The sequence below is a fragment of the Homo sapiens genome, chromosome 8 (genome assembly GCF_000001405.40).
Source record: "Homo sapiens chromosome 8, GRCh38.p14 Primary Assembly".
NCBI lineage: Eukaryota > Metazoa > Chordata > Mammalia > Primates > Hominidae > Homo > Homo sapiens.
This window is the reverse complement of record NC_000008.11, coordinates 69,461,902-69,485,320: the sequence shown is the minus strand read 5'-3', so window position 1 is coordinate 69,485,320 and position 23,419 is coordinate 69,461,902. Positions and strand designations below refer to the sequence as shown.

General features: G+C 38.2%; 1 protein-coding gene across 22 annotated transcripts in view, besides 1 other annotated feature; it reads right to left on the bottom strand.

The window, feature by feature from the left end:
• The window catches only part of SULF1 (sulfatase 1), a 194,132-nt gene extending 175,592 nt beyond the window's left edge, over positions 1 to 18,540 (bottom strand). For all 22 annotated transcript variants that reach the window (NR_182051.1, NR_182053.1, NR_182050.1 and 19 more), the window contains exon 1: positions 18,371 to 18,540. The gene's annotated coding sequence lies outside the window, so the exon portion shown is untranslated. The remainder of the gene's footprint in view (positions 1 to 18,370) is intronic.
• Positions 18,245 to 18,785: an enhancer, noted in NCBI's record as "OCT4-NANOG hESC enhancer chr8:70378771-70379311 (GRCh37/hg19 assembly coordinates)". NCBI's record gives its function as "activates a minimal SCP1, AML or CMV promoter by ChIP-STARR-seq in primed H9 embryonic stem cells {active_cell/tissue: H9 hESC(primed)}" and the evidence as "EXISTENCE:reporter gene assay evidence [ECO:0000049][PMID:30033119]".

Genomic DNA, 23,419 nt, shown 5'->3' with positions numbered 1-23,419 from the left:
GTCTGTGTGCTATACTGGAATGCACAGGGTAGAACAATGATGCTATTACTAAAGTGGGAAGGGCGGTAGGTAAATGTGGTCCTCTCAATATGCCTAGTCATTCCTATTTTGGGGAAAATTTATGCAAATAAATATTATGGGAAATTTTGGAGTGGGAAGAAACCACAAAAGGAAGGGCTGAAAGCACGGGTTAGAAGAAGGAGGTTGCAAGGTGTATCCTGACACTTTTCCTGAGCTCCCATCTTCCCTCCAACTGGTCCCTTCCTGAGTCATTGCTCAGAGGGCAGCTGTGATGGGCACCTTGGAAAGCTGGCTGTAGCCGGGTGCTGTGACATGCACCTGTAGTCCCAGATACTCAGGAGGCTGAGGCAGGACAGTAGCTTGAGCTCAGGAGTTCCAGATCAGACTGAGCAACATGGTGTGACTCCTGTCTCGAAGAGGAGGAGGAGGAGGAAGAAAAGAAGAAGAAGAAGAAGAAGAAGAAGAAGAAGAAGAGGAAGATGAAAGCAAGCTGTATATCCTGGAGGTGGTTCTCCTCCTTTCCTGAGACCATGGTCCTTGCTTGACTGTTTCTCCTTTTTTAAATCCTATCTGGTTACAGCAAAAGGAAAATAATGAAATGCAGACATTAGTGAGCCTGGGCATCACTTTTTGTCATGCAGACTATAGATTATAATCTAAAAAAGATTATCCAGATAGTTAAAGGCCACATTTGTTGAAACATCCACAGAGCAGTTCAACTTTCCAAGGGCAGAATTAAAAATTTCTTAAAAGTGAAATTTGTTTTCTGCTTTCATTTATTTGTTTTTCTGGGACCAAAACTGTGTGCTTTACTATAAAGTTGAGATTTGGTGAATTGAGCCAACTTAATTTTTAGGTCCTGTCTTTAAGTATTTAGATCATGTAAGAACTTTTTAATAGAGAACTCTGAACATTATTCATTCATTTAACAAACATTTATTGAATGTTCCATGTGTGCCAGGAGCTGCTGTTGATGCAGATAAGATGTGGTGCCTGCTTTCAAGAGGTTGCAAATAAGAAGGAGGGTCTATTTTTTCATGCAAATATTTTTCCATATAAACTATGTTTCTAGAAAGCATTATCTTAATTTCAGAATTTAAAAATTACTAAATATGAGGAAAAGACATTCGTTAAAAAGTCAACTGAGCTTAAAGGAAAAAAAGGAAAATGTGGAATAAGGACTAGTTAATGGTAGCGGGTATGGAGTCAGATTTCTGGGTCCATATCCAACCTTGGCCCCTGCAAGTCTGTAAACTTGGCCAAGTCAGTCAAACTCTCAGAGCCTATTTCCTTGCTTGTAAGACTGGGACCAAGATAATTCTATGTCATAGAGATGTTGCATAAATTAAATTAGATAATGTATGTATAGCACTTACTTGTACATGGTAAGCATGTATTTAATAAATCTTAGCTGTTATTGTTACATATAACATTAGTAAGTAAAACAGACATCTTTCTCAGTCATTTTGTTTTGTTCTTTAAGAGAATGTTTTTGTTTTTTGCTTTGTTAGGGACAGGGTCTTGCTCTGTTGCCCAGGCTGGGTTGCAGTGGACACAATCATAGCTCATTGCAGCCTGGAACTCTAAGGTTCACGTGATCCTCCTGCCTCAGCCTCTTGATTAGCTGGGACTACAGGTGAGGTGTGAGCCACCGTGCCGGCAAGAACATTGCTTTTCTATTGCGAAATATAATACGAGCCCTAGAAGTTTTAGGTATGGTCAGTAGGAGTATAAAAAGGCATTAGAATGCTAAGAAGGCATATTGGAATTTAAATCCTAAATTCCAGAACCAGTGCTCTTTCCAGTATTCTCTCTTGGCATCCTTCTAAATTCTGCCGTTTAGTAGCTGTGAACATTAATGGTATAAGTAACCTTCACAGCCTGTTTCTTAGTCTGTAAAATGGGTCCCACAATGCCTGTCCAATCCACTTCATTGGAAGCATTATGAAGACCAAATAAAATAAGGTCAGTGAAAACAGTTTGCAATAAGTAGTATGATATATAAATAAAGGTTATTAATAAATCATTATGAGTTTCTCGTGAGCTATGGTATTGATTATTGATGACTGACTGGCAAAACGTATGATTGTGATTATAAATACAGTCTCCCTCGTTCCCTTGGTCTCCTTGGAGAATTGATTCCAGAGCCCCACTGTAGATACCAAAATCAGGGGTGCTCAAGTCCCTGATATATGATGACATAATATTTGCATATAATCTACACACATCTTCCGATATACTTTGAATCCTCTCTAGATTACTTATAATACCCAATGTAAGGTAAGTGCTATGTAAATATAATATACTGTATTCTAAAATTTGTATTTTTTTATTGTTGTATTTTTTTCCCCTGAATAGTTTTTCTATCCAAGGTTGGTTTAATCCACTGAGGTGGAACTGTGGATATGAAGGGCTGACTATAATTTAAGTGGAAATTACTTTCAGTTTACAGAAATAGATTATAGTTAGGAGACCTGGATCCTAGTTGTTCACTTTGCCTCTAATCAGCTGTTTATTTATACAAATTACTTAATTTTCCTTAATTAATTTTTAAAAATTTGTATTTGAAAATAATTTCAAACTTACGGAAAAGCTGGAAGAATAGTAGAAAGAACACTTACATACCAGTTACCCATAGTCATTTATGGTTAACGACTTGCCCCAATGTCTTGCCTTATCAATTTCATTCCCTCCCCCTGCCCCTCTCTCTCTATATATACAAACAGAGATTTTATAAAATTATATATATATATATTCCTCCCTTGAACTATTGACAGTAAACTGCACACATCATGATCTTATACCACTATACATTAATATTTCAGTATGTGTCACCAAAGATGTGCCTCTGTTTCTATTTCTTTAAAATGGGCACAAGTACTTAGTTATGTGGCATGATCCATAAGGTTGTCAAAACCAAATGAAATGTTTAAAGGCATGTTGAAAAGTATAAATTGTTATATAAAACTAAAGGTTGTATATTTCATAAACTATGGGGAAAATCAAATTACTTAAAACTTCAGAGGATTTACAAATGGTAGTAGAGTGCAAATGAAGAGAGCCCATTATCTAGCCGGTTATAGTGCCAAATTTTTCTCAGTGGTGAGAGCAAAAGAGTCTGATGCCCTCACCCTCTGTGTCATCCTTTTTGAGTTGCATTCCTCCTGCAAGGACTTACATCTTTTCTTGGTGCTCTTTCTCATTTCAACAGTTTGCTATTTTATGTGGTCTTTTTGGTGGAGGTTATGACCATGTTTGAGGCAAGGTGATAGAAACTAAAGAGCAGTTGCTACTCAATGGAAGATCAAGAATACAGCTGTTAAGAGTTTAGTAAGAGCTCAGCTTTATTTCTTCTGGTCTTTTCTTTGAGTAGTGAAAATGGCATACTTTATTTTCATTATAAACAACAACTGAGATATAAATAGGAAATAGGGAAGCACTGTTTTATAGAAGTGTCTAATGTATAGGCTTAGCTGAAAATAGTATGAATATAAAAAAGAAAGAGATCATGTCCTTCACAGGGACATGGATGGAGCTGGAGGCCATTATCCTTAGCAAACTAACTCAGGAAGAGAAAACCAAATACCGCATGTTCTCACTTATAAGTGGGAGCTGAATGATGAGAACACATGGACACAATGGCGGGGAGCAACACACACCGGGGCCTGTCATAGGGTGAGTGGTTGGGAGGAGGAAAAGCATCAGGAAGAATAGCTAATGGAAGCTTGGCTTAATACCTGGGTGATGGGGTGATCTGTGCAGCAAACCACCATGGCACACGTTTACCTATGGAACACACCTGCACAACCTGCTCATGTATCCCTAAACTTAAAATAAAAATTGGAAATTTAAGAAAAGGAAAATAGTATGAACAAAGTATTCTTATGGATCAAAAAATAACTTTCATAGAATCCCTTTTTCAACAGCATTCACTATTATAAAGTTTAGATATAAAAAAAGATAATTATTCTGCCACTTTATCTTCACATTCTCAACAGAATTCACACTTTCATAAGAAGTTGTAATACTGGTAAGCCTGATATTTTTATAAATCTAACCAGATTTGCAATCACATTTTCCAGTGGATTGAAATATGACCAATAACCTAAAAATATGAACGAAAATGCTCTTTTTCCTATGACGTATTTCTTTCATTGCTCTGGAAATCATAATGGCTTTCTTGAGATACTTACAACACCAAAAAGGAAATCTAGAACATGTCTTAAAAACAAAACTTTTATTTTTATTTTTATTTTATTATTATTATACTTTAAGTTTTAGGGTACATGTGCACAATGTGCAGGTTTGTTACATATGTATACATGTGCCATGCTGGTGTGCTGCACCCATTAACTCATCATTTAGCATTAGGTATATCTCCTAATGCTATCCCTCCCCCCTCCCCCATCCCACAACAGTCCCCAGAGTGTGATGTTCCCCTTCCTGTGTCCATGTGTTCTCATTGTTCAATTCCCACCTATGAGTGAGAACATGCAGTGAAAAACAAAACTTTTTTAAAAAGTCAGAATCATACTTAGGATATTCTAAATTAATCTTTTTATTTTGAGTTATTAAATTGTTATTCCTTATAGTACAAAATAACAAATGGAAGTTATGACTAGGAAATACATTTATAATCTAATAATGAATACTGCTACTTCTTTTACAAATAAATCAGCTTCAAATGCAAATTATATAGATGCATAATTGTATATACAATCATGTAATTTATTAAGCTATGAAGAATATTGCTCATATACTTCTCTTGGGAAAGTTCCAGTACTTGAGGAAGTATTCAAATGTTTATTTCCCAGTAAGGTGACATTACTAAGGGGACAGTTCAACTGTTCTAATGCAATAGGTATCCCTAATATTGACCAAATATGGTATATTTGAAATCATTTGAAGTATTAGGCAGTGAAGTGGGATCCAGAAGACATGAGTTCTAACACTAATTACCTCACTCAGGTGTTTAGACTCAGGCAAATGGCATGCTGTCCCTCAGCTTCAGTTTTCTGGTGTACAGAAATGACACACTGCTTTCCTTACTCAAATATTACAAGTTCCAGTGGTTTAGTGCAAGTGAAAATTGTTTTGAAGTCGTAATGGTTAATATTGTCATCATCAACAGTGGATAGTGTGTTCTTTAAGTGTATGTTAAAAAATGCTTTTACAAAGAAGTTTCTCTATGATAAAGCTGCATGTTTGCACAGATCATCCATAGCAACGGTGCTTGGTGATCTCAATTAGAACAGATTTTCCATAAGGAGTACATCTGAAAAAAAAAAAGCTTTTTCTTGTATTTGTTCCAGTCCCAATCATCATTTACACTGCCTGATTACTCACGGTAGCCCTCAGCAAGAAAGTCCATGGTCGAAAAGGGAGCTGGACTCATCTCTTTTCCTTGTCGGGTCCCAATGTAAAGTGGACACATGAACTCATTTTCATCCCGGTAGAATTTACCGACTCATACTTTTTAGAAAGATAAAGCCTGGATTTAGAACTCTGCCTTGTAAGAATGAGTTTTGTGATTTTAGGCAGGTCTCCCAACAAACCCAGTCCTGTGTTTCCTCAGATGTAAACTGAGAGATTCTGCTTAGATGATCTCTAAGGTATGCCTCCAACATTCTGCTTAGATTTAGCTTAGATTGTTGGAGGTACGCCTCCAACATTCTGTGTTTCTATGATATCCTTTCCTGGAAAATCCACTGCAAATTCTAAGTTATTGAAGCAACAACAACAAATAAGATTCAGTAGTTTTGACAGTGTGCAATAAGTTCGTCTTTCTTCTAAGTAATATAAACCTTTTACCTCAGTTGCTAATTGTCCTACAAATGAGAATGCCATTCCTAGACAAAATTTTTACAATCCATTCACACTGCAGAAGAAAAAAACACCCAATACGATTTACTATGAAATTAACAGGGTGTTTTAATTTATGCTATGCGGCAGATAGTGGACAGGCCTATATATCTAGCACTATCCATAAAAATCTGGTCTAGCTGTTATTTTACAGGTCCTTGAAAACAGAATTGTCACAATCTCCTCAGTTCAGCTCTCAAGAGAAATTAATTGATAACATAGAATCCTGAGTGGCTGGCATGTGAGTGACACCCAGCTATACAATTTCACATCTAATCAAGGAAGATGGGAATTCTAGTTGGCCTATTGTCTATTTGAATCTGTTTCTGGATGGAATCCAGCTGGCGCAAATGCAGCCCTGGAGAGTGATGTGGGCAGAAGATGGAAACAAAAAATCTGAGCCAGAGAATCAGTGCATGAGATGGTGCCTTCCACATTGTCAAAAGAATGCCCGGGGTAGTTGTGAATGTGCTGCTGATTAGTTTCCTAAAATTCTCAATGACTAAAATATAATGTTCTATCCCAGTAGTCCTTGATCATTCTAACTGTGAATGTGTAATGAAGGCCTTTAGGATGTACTGGCTCTACCACCTTGAAGCTATGCTTGATAGATGCAGAGGCTCAAAACTCAACTTGTCTTACTGTTTCTCAAAATATAAGAGAGAGAAGGCAATTTAAAAAAATGATGAGAATAAGAATAAATGCAAAATTGTACATAATTAAGAGCTAAAATTATGTGACAAGATTTTAAGTGGAAAAAGAGCACAGATGAGAGAGAGATTATTGATGGTTGGAAGAGTTAGGAAAAGAAAGTTCCATGGAGGTAATGAGGCTTGAGTCTTTCTTTTCAAGGATGGATGGAATTTGGACATGCAGAACCATGATGGGAGGCAGTCCTAGCCCAGAAAACAGTGTGAGCACGTGCCTTGTAGCAGAAGTAAAGATGTAAATTCAGGACATGTTGAACCACTTTAGGAAAGAGCAGAAAGTGTATAGGGGGAGTGGGATGGTCATAGTGGAAAAGATCATGGAGGTTCTTAATTGCTGGTCATTTATTTAGACTGGATGCTGCAGAAAATTGGGAGACAGGTGTTTTAGAGTAGTGGAGTGATATGATGAAACAGTGTAGAAATAAGATGAGTTTAATGGCAGTAGGTAAGATGAGTGGAGATAAGAAAGAGATAAGGTACAGAGCTTATTTCAGATGCACGAGGTGATGCAGAACTGGATTGAAGTCCTTCCTCTTTCCTCCAACCATTCTTTTTAGTTTCAAGGAGAATGCTTAGGCTGGGTACAGTGGCTTGCACCTGTAATCCTAGCACTTTGGAATGCTGAGGCAGGGGATTGCTTTAGCCCAGCGGTTTGAGACCAGTTGGGCAACATAGGGAGAACCCATCTCTATAGAAAATAGGAAAAATTTAGCCAGGCTGGTGTGTGCTGGAGGTCCCAGCTACTTGGGAGGCTGAGGTGGGAGGATCTATTAAGCCCAGGAGGTCAACACTGCAATGAGCCATGATCACACCACTGCACCCTGCCTGAGTGACAGAGCGAGACACTTTCTCAAAAAAAAACAAAGGAGAATGCTTTATTTATTTAAGCTTGTCTTAAAGGAAGAGCAGAGTTTGCCAGTAAAGAAGGAGAATAATGCCATCTAGGTGAAGGGAATGGCAGAATGCAGGCAAAGAGATGATGGCATGCTCCTGAAATCTTAACTAATTTGCTCAAAATCACACTATTAATAGTAGCCAAGTTCTAGAATCCAGATTTCTAATATCTTTCCACTGTACCACCCTGCCTCTTTTTCCTGGCTCCAACACTGCTGTCATTATTCAGCAAATTTTATTTCATTGCTAATAGTGTGCTTAATTATTTTTTCAGACTTGAAAAGTTACCAGGGGAATAATAAAATATACATTTTAATTTTATTTGCGCAACAAGAAATATGATTTGCCTGAAGCAGATGAGGAAGTTAAGTGGAGTATTCTAAGCTTCCAAAGGGGTTATGACAGTGGTAGAAGCAATTGTAGGAACACTTTTAATTTCACTTCTGAGACTACTGTAGTAGTTCACCAGAATGTTAGATGAATAGACAGCTATTTTTGTAGAAGAAAGGCTAATGAGAATAACAATTGCTATACATGAAGTTTTTCATATAGCTTATTTTTCCCCCCGTTTTCTGTCCTGGTTTTTACATCGAAAAGGTAAGGTGACTCTGTATGACAGAACATGTTTTGACTGCATTGTATTCTTTTTTCTGACTTCTCTACTTATTCATTTTTCTCTTCTTAGAAGGACCAAACTTCTCTAATTCCAGAAGTCTTTGTACCTCCAAGACAGATCTAAAAGCGTAACATGTAGGAGTAGAATCTTGAATTGAAATCTGAACTTAGACAATCCAAAATTAAGAAGTTTGGAAATATCAACTCATGTTTCAGTCCCTAATCTCTATACCAGGACCCTGGCCCATTGACCTAAGTGGGTACTAGATGAAGAGACCTAGTTTTAAGTTTGGCAGCTAAACCCAACGTTTGTGCTTGCCGAAGATGATGTTTATTGATCTAACTATGGCACTTGTGTGTTATTCTTTCCTCTCTGGTTCGTTGCACTGGATGTCTCAACAATTCAGTTGCTAGCCATTAATGGCTTCCAAATATAAACTGGCTCATGTCAATTAATCCCTCATGTCTGGCAACCCTGAGTGAGAAATAGATTACAGGTGCTGATACTTAGGCTGGCGTTTCTTCCAGGGGAACTAGGGAATATGGTTCAGAAAACCCAGTTGGGTAACATAGAACAGGCCAAAGTCTTCATTAAAAACTTGAATGGGACCCAAGTCTCTTTTGAGGAACGAAAATGCTGTCAAGTCTCCATGGTCAATGCTATTCCCACAAATTTTCAGTAACAGGGCTACATTTCAGTTCCAGATTTTGCTGACTCAAGCTCTGTATTCTTTCAGTCATGCTGCCTCCAACATATAATGCACGAGTTTGAAAAGGCAAACACAATCTTCTACTTCTAAGAAATCTATACCTAGTTCTGAAAACTGCCCATTGATTTAGTAGGAAGACTTGACTAGAGAATGGCCCTCTTATTTTGAATAGGAAATGGTTGAAACAAATAAAACAAAAAAGGACAAAACAAAAGGGGATAGAAAGAAAAGCAGGGGAATGGGGAAACCATTCCCAAATCATAAAATTAAGGATGATTTGTCTTTGTAGTGAAGAAGGGAACGTGTATTTCATTTGTGAATAAGTCATTGGTACATTCTGTGAAAGGATGTCAATCAGCCTCCTCCAAGGTAGAATATGAAGGTTTGTGAGCATAGGCAACTTAAATATTTCATCTCTTCTTGCCTCTAGACTTTTTAAATTTCATGTTCCGCTCCACTAACAGTCTCTTAGTCAAAAGAAGAGAATTATATAGGTGTTATGCAGATGTAGTTGAGTATTTTGACTCGAATATCCGTAACTTCCCCAAAGTTATAGAAATGCTAGATTGTTACTTGGCCAACCATTTTCTTAATCTGAGAAAATTTTTTTTTAAATCTAAGGCGGCATATGCCTTATGAAAATCACAGTTGTGTATTCTGTCTAATGCCCACCAATGATCAGAACATTAGATTGTATCTATTTAAATTATATTATTAAACATTGAGTGCTTGCTTCAGCAGCACATATATTATTAAACATTGATATACACATATATTTACATATGTTTGCATTATAAAGTTCTATTGAGTGTAGTCTGTTCACAGATAACAGATAAACATTTGTTCCATAATGACCATTGTCACTTTGGGAATGTATTGTGTTGCCGAATGAAATTCCATTTTCAGTAGCTTTAGATTGAGCCACCATTTCCCTGTGTCCTGGGCTTGATACCTCAGTATTTTTCTCTCTTTTGTCCTCTATTTGACTAATCACCAAGTTGCATTATTGTTATTTATTTCTTCACCATGTTTCTTACACCCATCCTTTCCTTATTCCCACTGCGTCGATGGGAATAGACAACATTTTTTTTTTAATTTATTTGAACTCTGGGGATCAATTGTCTTGTTATCCCCCTCTCTCTTTCTCTCTCTGTCTCTGCTCACTCACTGTCACTCTCATTTTTCCTTAATCTCTCTTTATTCTTAAAAACCTACTGCTTGAACTTCCTAAGGCATCTGTTTAGCTATCAAGTCCAACCTCTCTACCTGATGTGTTAGGACACTCTAGAATCTGGCCTGACTTAGCTATGACATGAAATGCTTATTATAGCAAGGCACAGAGCAGAGGCAAGAGAGGATCACAATGTTTCCCCTCCTCTTCCATTCCTTTTTTTCTCTTCTTTGCCTCTATCCTCTTTCCCTCCCTCTTCCTCTTTCTCTTCTTTGCCAAGTGGCCACCTTCATTATATTTCCAAATTGTGTCATACAGATCATGAGATTAAGAAGGGCTATTTTTATTTGAAAAGGACATACTCACTTTATCACCAAGCCTCAGCTCAAGCCATGTCTTTTGCCATCTTGGAACAAAAATGTAGCTTTTGTGTTTTGTGTTTGTGCAGTTTCTCTGTTCTATATTCTGTGTTAAGCATCTTATTTTATTATCTCATCTAATCTTTATAACAACCTTTTGTGATAAACTTAACTCCATTTTACAGAGAAGGAAACTGAGTCAAAGTAAAATAAAAAGATTTAATCTGTTTGATATTGGGTCCATATCATAAATCTCCTTTACTAAATCTCAATATCACATATGAAAAAGAATGTGATAACACATGTAAAGCCTCTAGGCATCCCAAGTAAAAAATATTACATGTCCTATGCTTTTATTTATCTGTTATATTCGGAAAACTTTCTTTTCTTTTACCAGCATAAAGTTCTCAGAAGAAAAAAAGAGAACATGATTTGTAGGGGGCCTGTCTTTTGTGGGATGCACTTTTTATAAGATGAAAGTTAAAAGCTGGTTTCAAGAATTTCTGGATGCACGGTAAAGCACATCTGTTTACAGGGACATTCTATTCAGGAGAAGATTGATTATTGGCAGGTGAAGGTTAAGGGTGAAACTTTAAATTGGCAAGAAGTCTATTCAGAACACATGTTATATGACAGAAAGGTGATTGGGAAGCAAAGGCATATTTGTGATAGGAGTTTGAAGATAATATCTAGAGGTGCACACTTCTAAAGTAACTGATCAATAAATGTACATTGGAATGCAATTAGTCTTTTCCCACCATAATTCTGGTATAGCTAATATCTTTTAATTGTGTAACCTTTAGTTTTACTTTAAATTAATATAGCAGATTATGCCTGTAACATCATACCAAAAAAACTGGACAATAAACAGAACTCTTTGTATTTCAGATTTCCATTTTGGTTTTTAAGAATGGGCTAAATGTGCCAGTGTTGTTCAGGAAAATGGGAAGACACTTAGACTGAATAATCTTTGAGCCTCTGTCATCAAAGGAATACAAGGAGATTTTCCTGAGTTCTTGAAACAAACCTGTCTCAGAAATTATTTGCGTACTATGAAGTGGAAAAAGTTGCATGTATTAGTAACACTATTTACTGATTGGAAAGATCATAGGACAAAATAAAAAAATTAGTTCAGAGTTTCCATTAATTCTAGCAACAGAACTAGCATCTGGTTACAGCAGTTTGTTGCTCAGCTGAAGATTTGGTCAATGCCAACAAAAGAATAGAGCAAAACAAAGAAGAGCAAGAGGAAAACTACATGACAGTAGATGAAATCTACATCAGAGTCCATTGCTTAAGAACAGACAATTCAATTGTTATGGTATAATGTGATTGGATATGTAATAAGACAAATCCCCATCTTACAAGGATACTGTTTTATGAAAATGTCTAGGCTTGCTCATGAATTGATTGTCCATCCAGCTTTAGAATGTTTTTTAGTTTATATTCAACAAGAGCCATGTGGACTCTTGCCAGTTCCCAAACTCCACTCCCATCACAAGCCTTCTAACTTTATTTTAGAATTTGATTAGTACGACCCAAAATTTATAGATTTATTTTGAGAGAGTCTACCTTTTACAATTAAAACTTTTGATTGAGAAACACAATCTGTCTGTTCATTTATTCCGCACAGAGATTTAGTATTAATCTCACCGACAGCAGTTAAACAGTAGCATGTCCAAGTCCCTTAGATTCATATTTTAGAAAACGTAGACATAGTTTCCTACAGGTTTGTACCTGTGTAGTAAACAAAAACAAAAATAAAACAGCAAAAGAAAAATTTAACCTTTGAAGGTAAAGCGAAGAGCTACATTTTTTTTTTTAATTAAAAGTGGCTTAGGGCCGGTGTGGTTGCTCACACCTGTAATACCAGCACTTTGGGAGGCTGAACTGGGAGGACCACTTGAGGCTAAGAGTTTGAGACCAGCCTGGGTACCATAGTGAGACCCAGTCTCTAAAAAATTAAAAATAAAAAATAGCTGGGTATGGTGGTGCATGCTGGCAATCCTAGCTACTCATGAGACTGAGGCAGGAGGATCACTTGAGCCCAGAAGACGGAGGCTGCTGTAAGCTATGATCTTGCAATTGCCCTCCAGCCTGGATGAGAGAGTGAGACATTGTCTCAAAAAATTAAATTAAATTAAAATTTAAAAAGTTTAATACACTACTGTGCAGGAGTACATGGACCACATATTTAGAGGGCAACGAAGACTAGCTTAGCGGCTACAGGTGACGATGGTGTCAAATGTGATTGTTAATGCCTCTCTTTGAAAATTTGATAGATATGTTTGCTAGGGAGAGGGAGGGATCTCCAGAAATACTGCCTTACCCATCATCCCAGGCAGTTCCAGTTTCTTTCCTCTCCCTGGCTGAGGGCAGGTGCAGACCAGATGATCAGAAAGCTAGAACTGAATATCCAATGTCTAAGGACATATTTGCTAAGTGGCATTCAGTGCCTTGTTAGAGAATTTCACAGTCAGCTGCCCTTCCAGGGAAAAGGCAGAAATAGAAGGTTCAATGTTTGATGATGGGTGCAGAGTTTGGGAATGGTAAGGGGCTCAAGCTGATTGCTTTCAGCTTTTTTGTTAAATTTGGTTTGAAGGTGAAGTCTAAATGGTATCTTGCTTTATCAATTACTTCTGGAAGCTCGATCTGACTCTCTACAATGTTTTGCCAAGTTTTTATTAATATTTCTTTCTAGATGGTGAGCCAGGAGGAAAGAAGGGAAGCACATGACCCTTAGAGAATCCAAATCCCTGCTATGGTACAGGGATGGGGTCCTTTGTTCCCCAACAGCATAGCACAGTGGCCCAGGGCCTGCTCTTTATTATCCTTGGTGCAGGACCCAGGGCTTCATGCTTCATTTCTCCCTCAACGTGTATTTAACTGTCACTACTGTCCCTACAGAGCCATTAGCTCAGTTGCTCCAAATCCCTAAATGCCAAGAGCACCTCCCTCCTTCTCTCTCTCTCTCTCTCTCACTTTCTCTCCCTTGCTCTCTCCCTCCTTTCCTTATTCCCCTGCCTTTGGTGGCAGAAGAAAATGCTAAAGGAAGGCACATCATAGATACATAGGATTAATGACTGACATAGCTGAACGTTTGTCATTCCTGCATCCTAGGTCTGGATCTACATATGCACCAATCAACCCTCTCTCACTTCCATTTATTGAACATACAATATTGGATATGCACTGAGCTAGGTGATTTATGTGTTTTCTTTAAAATGTTCCCAAGATAAGTACTCCTATCTGTATTTTACAGAGGAAGGAGCTGAATCTCAGAATGGGTCAGTTCGCTGTCCAAGGCCACACAGCTAGAGAGGTGGTCCCTGGATTAGAACACAGGTCTGTTTGAACCCAGAGCCTGTACTCTCCTGCTCCAAAGCCATATTTGGGATTTTATGATAGAGCAGCAGCCAATACATGTAATTTCTACTACAGTTAAAGCTGAACTTCATAGGGATTTTTCATATAATACTCAAGCTTAATCTGGGGCAATTATTTCACTTTCTGCCTTAGGGGCATTTTCCTTAAGTTTCCCCCAAATAAAACCCACTGAGTTTCATTTTTTTTTTTTTCGTTTCCTGTCCTGGGTGGGGAGGAAGCTACCGGAGCCAGTGAATGGCTCTAAATTGGGGTAACTCTAGAGAGGAAAGTGTCTTGAGTGTTCGAATGTCCTGGTGAGTTTAGTAAGCACACTTATTAGGGTCTTCTGTGGGTCATTAAAGTGGACCAGGCCAGTCCCTGTCACTCCACCTGAGAAGTCAAGGAATAAAGAAGCAAACTATAGAGCAGAATAAAAAATAAAGCAATTGTTTTAAGTGCAATCCATAGATAACCAGTGGTCAACATGAAGGGAAGAAAAGCATTGCTGGAAGAGGTAGCGGTCAGAGAGGCTTCTCAAAGGCGGTGGAACTTAAGCTGAAACTTTGAAGGATGAATATATAGAGGTGATAAGGATGAACTGAGTGGGGCATTTTACACACAGGCTTATGAATGTAGACTTAGAAGGAACCGTGCACATGATGACAAACTCATTTTAAAGACAAGATAGAAAACTAGAGTGGTTAGGGCTGAAAGAAAAGGCTAGAAAGTAGAGATGCTGTGCTGCCCACTTTAGCTGGAAGGAAGGGTAGACTTCTGAGGTTGTGGGGATTTGGCGGGGAGAAATGGTTGGAAAGTTCGGGCCAAATAATAGAAGGCCAGCACATTAGAATAGGACTGAAATTCATTTTATGGGTAGTAAGGGTTTATGTGGTAATTTTCAGACTAGAAGAGCTTTGATGAAACTGACATTTTAGGAAGCTGAGTCTGCAGTAGTAGACAGAAGAGGGAAATGGAGGCAAGTGGACCATTTAGGAGGCTGTTGCAATGGCCCACATGTGAGATGATCATTGCGCTGGGATGGTAGCTATGGGCCACATGTGGGAGATATTTTAAAGGAAGGACTCACAGAATTTGATGACAGACTGGCTATAGGGGAGAGGAAAATATGAGAGGGGAAAAAAAGGCTAACTGGCGAATTCCCCACCTCCTCAGGATATTAAGATAGATTAAAAAGAATTTAAATAGGAAACATATTTCAGGACAATTTTTTTCCATAAGATATCTCCTTTCAAAAATTTTCATGGTTCTAACCTAAATAAAAGCTGAATTTACCACATGATCATAGACTTAGTTTCATACATGAGCCTCCTTCTCCCCAAAGTCAATAATGATAAAAGCGACCATCTATTTAGAGTCTGGTTTTAAAAATTTTAATCCCCTTAAATTTACTTTATGTTCTCCACACAAAAATATTGCACAGGGGAAAAAAAACCGGATGTCCTGAGCTGACTCTTTGGTTGGCCTCATCTATGTGGCGATGGTTGGGGAAATCTCAATACTATATATAGCTCAGTATCAGAAATCTTGCTTTATGGTTTTTTTTGTTTTTTAGACGGAGTTTCACTCTTGTCACCCAGGCTGCAGTGCAATGACACGATCTCGGCTCACTGCAACCTCCGCCTTTCGGGTTCAAGCAATTCTCCTGCCTCAGACTCCCAAGTAGCTGGGATTACAGGTGCCCACCACCGTGCCTGGCTAATTTTTGTATTTTTAGTAGACTTGGGGTTTCACCATGTTGGCCAGGCTGGACTTGAACTCCTGATCTCAGGTGATCCACCCGCCTCGGCCTCCCAAAATGTTGGGATTACAGGCGTGAGCCACTGTGCCCGGTCCTAGGATTTTTAAAGAATAAACCCATTTTCAATATAAAACACAGAAGAAACAAACCTCTAACCCTTCCAATATGGATACATAATTAGGGAAGGAAATAGGAAATGTCCCATTTGCCACTTGTCTCTACTATTATGATGGAAATGGCTACAACAATCTGCATGAAGTCACTTACATTTTCTTAGAAGGAAAACAGAGTAGAACCCTTCTAGTTTCCTGATGGAGGTTCCTACTCATAACCTACCATGGATTCAGTGAATACCTGGACTAATGTATTTTGGTATTGCACACCACCATAAAAATGAATTTTGTCACTTTCACAAATCAAGCTTTCAGATCACTTTTCACCTCTAAGATCTGTCACCTTAATGCATACCGAGTGCACATTTCAGATCTCCTCAACCTCCATTATTTTTCGCTTCTCTGGAAGGGATATCCCGTGTGCTCAAACACTTTCACAGCTGGTAGAATGCTGATGGGAACTTCATGTGTATTACCAGCACAAGTGCTGTCAGGAAGAAACCAAATGTCAAACTGAGGTATGTAGAGGTCGCCATAAATATGTCTCTGCATGTTTACCACCTGGGACAGTAGATTTTGATTTTGACAAGAAGCTGGGATTGCCCTGTGGACACTGTGTTTCAAGCAAGCCCTTTCAGTTCACGAAGTAACTTCACATTACCCTGTTAGGGGGACAAAAACACGGCTGCCGTTTCAAGGTGTGAATTTATTATCTCTCCACACTTCCTTTCTTGTTTCTATCCTGCCTAATCCTGTGTACAATTGTTTTTTTCAGGGGAATTGTCCCATACTGTCAAAGTCCTGTCCAGGCAGCCCTGTGATCGATCTGCAACATCAGGGATGTATGCTGGTGGGGCACCTGTTGCTAAATAGCACCTTGCCTCTGTTAGATGCCATCATGCCACATCTCAGGGAGGAAAATCCGATCTGTGAGGAGGCACTTGACTTTCTTGTGAAATATTTCTGCAGTAGTGAAAAATGGTATTGGTAGTTAGCACCATGCATGCTATATGCTGTCCATGTAGTTCTAATCCTGATACAACACGAGATATTAGCTTGCCTTTCTGTCTTTATTTTTTAAAACCTCATTTCCATTGTAAAGCCAAAATGGAATGACTGGAACTCCGAAAGACTTCAGCTTATGAACTTGGATCTATTTTGGTTATGTAATATTGGGAATCAGATAATACTCAGTCGGAATAACTGCCTGGGTATTTATGAGGATAATTTCTCATTGAAGGAGAAGTTTGAGAGTATAACTGGAGAACATTTTGAATAAAAATTAAAGACCATATTAAAATATTGTTTTAATCTTAACTTTTTTAAAAAAAGGATTTTAAAAAAATTATCTGCATGGTTGCAAAAATATGTATAATGCAACTTGAAACATAATTTTACAGGCATCTTTATGCAATCGAATACTAAAATCACAAAGCACTAGCCATAAATCCTGTTATTCAACCTACCAAACAGCTCTTATTTCAGAACAGCTTATATACAATATTATTCATAGAATCTCTCACCTGCAAAGGGTGAGGATAATGCTGGATTTCTCTGCCAAATGTGAAAGTCCAGTAGGAGCCAGAAGCTCTGCATACCACAGGTATATGAATGTTGCTATCGGAGGGCAAGTATATTAGGGTAGCAGAAGTCTCATTGGCTCACCTATCTTGCTAGAAAATTTGGAAAATAAAAAATTTTATGTTTTGATCCCTGTGAAAATAGAGCCTGAATTGAAAGGCCTTTTTTTTAATACTATAAATTAAACATAGCATATAAACCCCCTTCTTATATTTATAAATAGTTCAATTCAATATTGGTGGGTGCTTTTGGTAGAGCCGTTACGGCTACTCGCATATATGATGACAACTCATTTTGTGTTGCTCAGGCACCAGATGACTATTAATTTCCAATGACTAGTTTATAATTAAATCCTTTCTGTTTGTCTGTTTATAACCAAACCTGAAAATCTATTTACGTTTAATTAACACTTCACTTAGCCGGTCTAAAACCTATAAATGTAGTGACTCTTAATGATCCATTACAGAGATGCTACTTTAGTTTTCCATGACTTGTAAAACTTTCACAAACAGATCTGCAAATCAATTACCTCCATCTGCTTTCCCTGCAGCTGCAAGAGGGCTATGTTAAAGAGCATTTTCCTCCTTCTTCCTTCTCTGCTTTTCTTCCAGCTCTAAGCATTTTTGTTTTAAAGCCGACCTAGTGGCTGTTCAGAGGGTAGCCCCTTCTCTTCAGGAGTTTCCAAACTTCAGAGTCAATCTCCAAAAATATTTTAAAACACCCTTTGCTCTGTCATAAATCAGACATAATCTACCTTGCACAAATCGGTGAAGAAAGCACTTCCACCTCTGCCAGCAACTCAGTAATAGACCCTTCAAAGAATCTTTATAAATTGAGCAGTAAAATGCAACAGTTTGAAAGTGAATTTTAATTTTGAAAGCTAAAATAAATCCTTTCTCAGCCTTATCTATCCTCTACAAGCAAGTTATAGCTCCTGTTTTGAGTATACAACGGGGATATGAAAAGGTACAAACGCGGCTCCCAAAGGTATTTTCTTAGCTACACCTTCAAAAGCAAGGCATGAGGAGTGTTAGTTCTACAAAGACAGCCAAGCATCAAGCTATGCTCACCGTCATCTGTCAGCCGTACAATAGCAGCATTGATAGGACAGCAACAACTGGCTTTGACAAGTGTGCCGTGCTAGCATTCCATTCAAAACTATGCTAAAAGAGAGAGGGGGAGAGAAGCATTCAATGTCTTTTACTTTACCTGAAAAAAAAACTGCTTTTCTTGTGTCTGCTGAAAATGAATTCCTCCTTTTCCTCCAAAAGCAAAGTAGTTCTATTGCCTGCGACTCTCACTTGGAGAAGACCACACAGCTCCAGCAAGGCAGCCTTCCTTCTCTTAATCCCCACTCGAATGTGATGACACACACTAACCCCAACCATCTGTTGAAACACGTCCTCAAGCACTCAGCACAGTGGTGTGTCAAGACGGGCTGCCCAATCCAATTGCTGGGGCTGGGTGTCTCTTACGGATTGGAGGCTGAGGGCAGGGCTGAAACTGGAGGTCTGAGAACTCCCAGTCAAGTAACCTGAGATTTTCAGAGAGAAAGGACTGCTATAAAAAGAGGAGAAGTGGGAGGTGCTACAGAGAAGGTGGAGGGAATGAATTATTCTGATGACCAGTTGTGCGTTACTTTTCACAACTCCTCGTGCTCCCCCTGAGATGATGGGGACCCTCAGTGGGATGCACAGAAACCCTAAACATTTTTACTGCCCGTCTATGGAAGGGCCATCTCAGCAAGACGTTTTCCCTTCCATAGGAGATAAAAGGTTCATCTTGACTTGCTGATAAAGGGTTAATGTAGGAGTAGTTGGCACTGAAATGTGACATCTACATTTTGAAATCTAAACTCCTACCTTTCTTTGATTAGATCGTGGCTGCCTCCAACATTCTTGGCAAGGAGGGGGTGGGGGCGCAGCTAAGAGCAGAAACTTCTCTATTCCCACACACAGCTCTTCACTGTTTGCCACAGGCTGAACTTCAGAAATAGTCAATGAAAATCATTTTCGTTTCTACTCATGTAAAATAGCACGCGCTCCCATAGATAAAGGTGGCTTTTTTAATCACTTGCTGCTTTCACAGACATCTCTTTGTAAAAGCACTTTGGTACCAGAGGGCTGCACTCTGTCATTGATTATTTTTATTGGCTTCTAGTTAATTGCACTTATAATGTCCATATAGCTCAAACAGCTCATTAACAATTTTGCTTTGAAATGTTTTCAATTTTTGGTCATTTCAATACCTTCTTCTTAGGGGCATTTTTTTTTTTTTTTTGGTTTTCTGAACTGTTTAATGAAAGTAAGTACTTTGACAGCAGTCTGAACCAGAAAATGGCTATACTTGTTACAGTACTTTAAGAAGATATCTGGAAATCAATTAATTGCCACAAATCTCACAATTTCAAAAATTCCATCAGATATCTAAGGAATTTTGATAAACTGAAAGAGAAAATAGGAATTTTAAACACTACCAACTTCCTGACAGTGTCTGTGGGAAGCCAACATTTTAAGTATTGCACCTTTTGTATTTCTTTGAACTGGGAGGGGGATTGTTTTAAAAAAAAAACAAAAAAACTCTTAAACTTGCCTAATGCCTTAAAATTTAGACTATAAATAGTTATCTAATATGGGCATGCTAGTATCACAAGGAGAATTATTTCAGTTTCTAGCAACATTGATTTGACTAGCTTGTGTTTTTCCAGAATTTTTGTGTGTGGTATTATATTAAGATACTTAAAAATTATTCTGGGTGCAATTTTCTGATGTACAAAATTAGAAAACTAATTTTTCTGCAGTGCATTTTTTTCTTATAATTGAGTTATAAAGAAGAAGGAGGGAAGAAAAAGAATCAGAAGTTAAAGTCCTGATTCATTTGCTCAATTGCTTCTCAGAAGTGATTATGAGGTGTCTGTTTCACAATATATTGTGTATTCACTAAACTACTCCTAATCAGCTAAGTCCAGATACATAATCAACACAAACATTTTCAACAATGGCAAGTGGCACAACGGGGCTCTAACTTCCCTTGGGCATCATAAAATTTTTAATAGTGCCAATTATTGTAAGGTATTTTTTTTTCCTGTTTTGGCGGGAGGGGGGTTAATCCAACCAGACCCATGTCTGGAAATCTGGATTACCTCAACTGCATAGATTTTGAAGACCCCAGAGACATTATTAAGGTAGTTCGCATTCTCTTAAACTGTAAATTGAGTTACAAAAGTAAAACCTAAGAAACTGTACAGATGCGGAATCAAGAAGCTTTATCAACCCTGTGCTTGTAACACACTGTCTATGAGGCATTCCCAAATGGGCCTGGTTCTGACCTACATTATTGTTTAAAGTGCTTTTTAACACGGACATTTTATTCTATTATTAATTGTAGATCTTTTCATTAAAACTCAGTCACTGCTTCTCTTTTATTGATAACTTCAGCTATTTACACGATTTAATACTTGCTTTAAAATAAAAAATACAAGGATGCAATAGATGTGGTTGTTTGCTATGATCTTAATACTTGCTTCTGCAGTAGCTGTAAATGCTACCTTTGGAAAGTATTGTAAGAGTAAGTCCACAAAGGCACATTTTTCGTTGTTGTTCTGAAATGCTTTTGTTAGGGAAAATCAACTCAAACAAAAACCTGAAGTTGGTGCTGCAGGATAAGGTCCCAGCTCCCCTTCTCTCTGTAGTCTGCTTTAGTGCTCAGCGGAGTGTCAGTTTAGAAGTTAAGAATTTTCCATTACCTCCCTTCCTTTCTCTTTGCCATCTGCAAACAGTTTATTTTTTAAGAAAAAAAAAAAAGTGAAATTGATTCTGTCTTGAAAGATCTAAACCTAAAATACAGCACATTCTAAAAGATGATATGCCGAATTTTCAAGTACATTGAGCAGGGTGAGGTTGTGCACAGAGTGAAGCGCTTCATAATAAGAATTAAGTAAAGACACTCCTAAAATGAAAGATTAATTGTAGGTAACGGTGATATTGAAAAATAGCCCCTCCTATTCTGTTCCCACAGTTAAAATGTCCCTTTACTTATTAGCTCCAATTAGTTTCCATGGTAACCGACCAGCCCTTGTAAACCCCGCACTCTGAGCTTCACTCATCTTTGTCTAGACTGAGCTCACCAGCCTTCTTCCTCCACAGATGGCAGTTTAGCTGAGTCTATATCTATATCTATATCTTTTGCACACACATAACTGGCACATAAGTGTCCACATTCACTTTATTACTTGCACAATGGTGGCCAAGGGAGAATGGAAGTGGCATTTAATCCCGCAGCTACAACGCGTGCATCTGCTGCCACACTAATTTTTTCCCCCTCTTGGTTATTGTTTCTTCCAGCCTTTTTCTATTATCAGCTGTTTGCTGCTCGTAATTTCTTTTCAGGGAAGCCAATACAGTATAATAAAAACCTCATTAAACAGAAACACCTATCAGCCTCGGAGAAAGCCCTAAACTACCCCTTTTTGTTTAAAGAATCATTAAAGTGAAAAAGAAAAACCACTTGTTTGTCATGCTTGAAAAAAAGAGAACAAAGCCAACATAAAGGTTTACCAAGCCAGGGGGCTAATATGAAGATTTAATGCACTTAAGACACCGTGTTTCTTTCCCCCTTGAGCTGCCTATTGGCCAAGAATCCCAACTTGAGCACAGTAAACAAATGATCAGGGAGGCGGAGAGAGCTGGCCCCTCCACACACTTGGTGGGGAGGGAGGTGACGGGGATCTGCCGGCATCTTCGTGGTCGCAGGCTGCTCTGTGCCACTGTGCCACTGGGGGCCGGCAATACTGCTGGATTCCCCCGAAGTCAGCTAGTGTGAGTACAGAAGAAGTGAGTGAGGAAGGCCTTAGGCAAATGCTTGAAATTGTGAGAACTCAGCAAGCCATGGGCTGTTATAATTTGTGCTGACTTTAGCTCTTTGGACACAAGTCACTTTTAATTCAGTGTTATTTTGAGGTAAACCATCCCTTACTTATAAGAACTGGGAAGATGTCCACAGTTTAGGAAGCCAATCTTTTGTGATGGCCATGTTTAATCTTGGTAAAAGTAAGTCAAAATGGTAGCATTAGATTTCTCCTTTTTGTATCACCTCCGCTACCACCATTTTTCCAACATGCAAATAATGATTGCCAATAAGATTCCCGCAATTGCAATGATGGAATGTTTTATTCTTAAAATAGTTTCTGAGGTTAGCTTCTGAGCTCATCTGTAATCTAAATATTAGAAATAGAAAAGAAAAAGTTCTGATCTCCAATGTATATTATAACTTATAGGATATAGGAACCTGTGATGCTCCTTATGCTGACACTTTCTTTTCTTTTGATGATTCCTAAACCTAACCTAACTTCCTTCAGTTTTGTCCTTTAAATAAATGACAAATGACATCTAAAGTTCTATGACACCAGAAGCACGTATAACTATTAGCTCATTGCCATTTGTATCATAAAGTGTCTGTAGATACACAATAAATCTTGTAACTTGGAACATCCTGCATATCTCAATTACTCCAGGCTACACAACTTCCAATATTCTCTTATTCTCTTCCAACTAAACTTTACGGCCTTTATTTACATTGAACCAAGTCATTCTCAGAGAGAAAAGGGAAATTACTGCTTGTTAAATGAAATCACGTGCGATGCAGCAAGCATTAGGCTTGCTCATGTTTGCAGTGACTGCATAGCTACATGGGAGGTGGCACTGGAGCTAGTGGTAGTGTTCATCGCAGATGAATAGTTTTGTCACTGAAGTGAAGTTCCCTCCAGGAAGTACAAGCCTAAAGCATGCTGAAAACGGTTGTGTAGCTGCACTGTAAATAATTTTAGGAGGGCAAGGTTGGGTGGTAAATCACTTAGGGCAAAACAGTGACCCACACACGGAATAATTTAATGAAAGATAATAGATTCAATACAATTGTGACAAATAGGATACTGAAATTTTTAGAAACCTATTCTGAATCCGTATTTGTGGAAATTAGTGTTTGGGGCATTGGGCTTCAGTCTTCATTTTAGCAGATAATTAAATTTATGAGACATAAAAATAGAACATGTTGATATCAAGTAAGAGGAAAATGTGAATTTCAGCAGTAGGAGCTCGAGGTTTTGTTTGATATACCTGGAGGGAGGGTTGAGGGTATTTGACATGTATATACCCTAAACCTAATGAGTCAAATAATTATCTTTAATTTGTAATTAATACATTCCCTGATTAAGGTGAGTAGTATGAATGAAAGTGGAAAACTGAACGCAGCCGTAAGTAT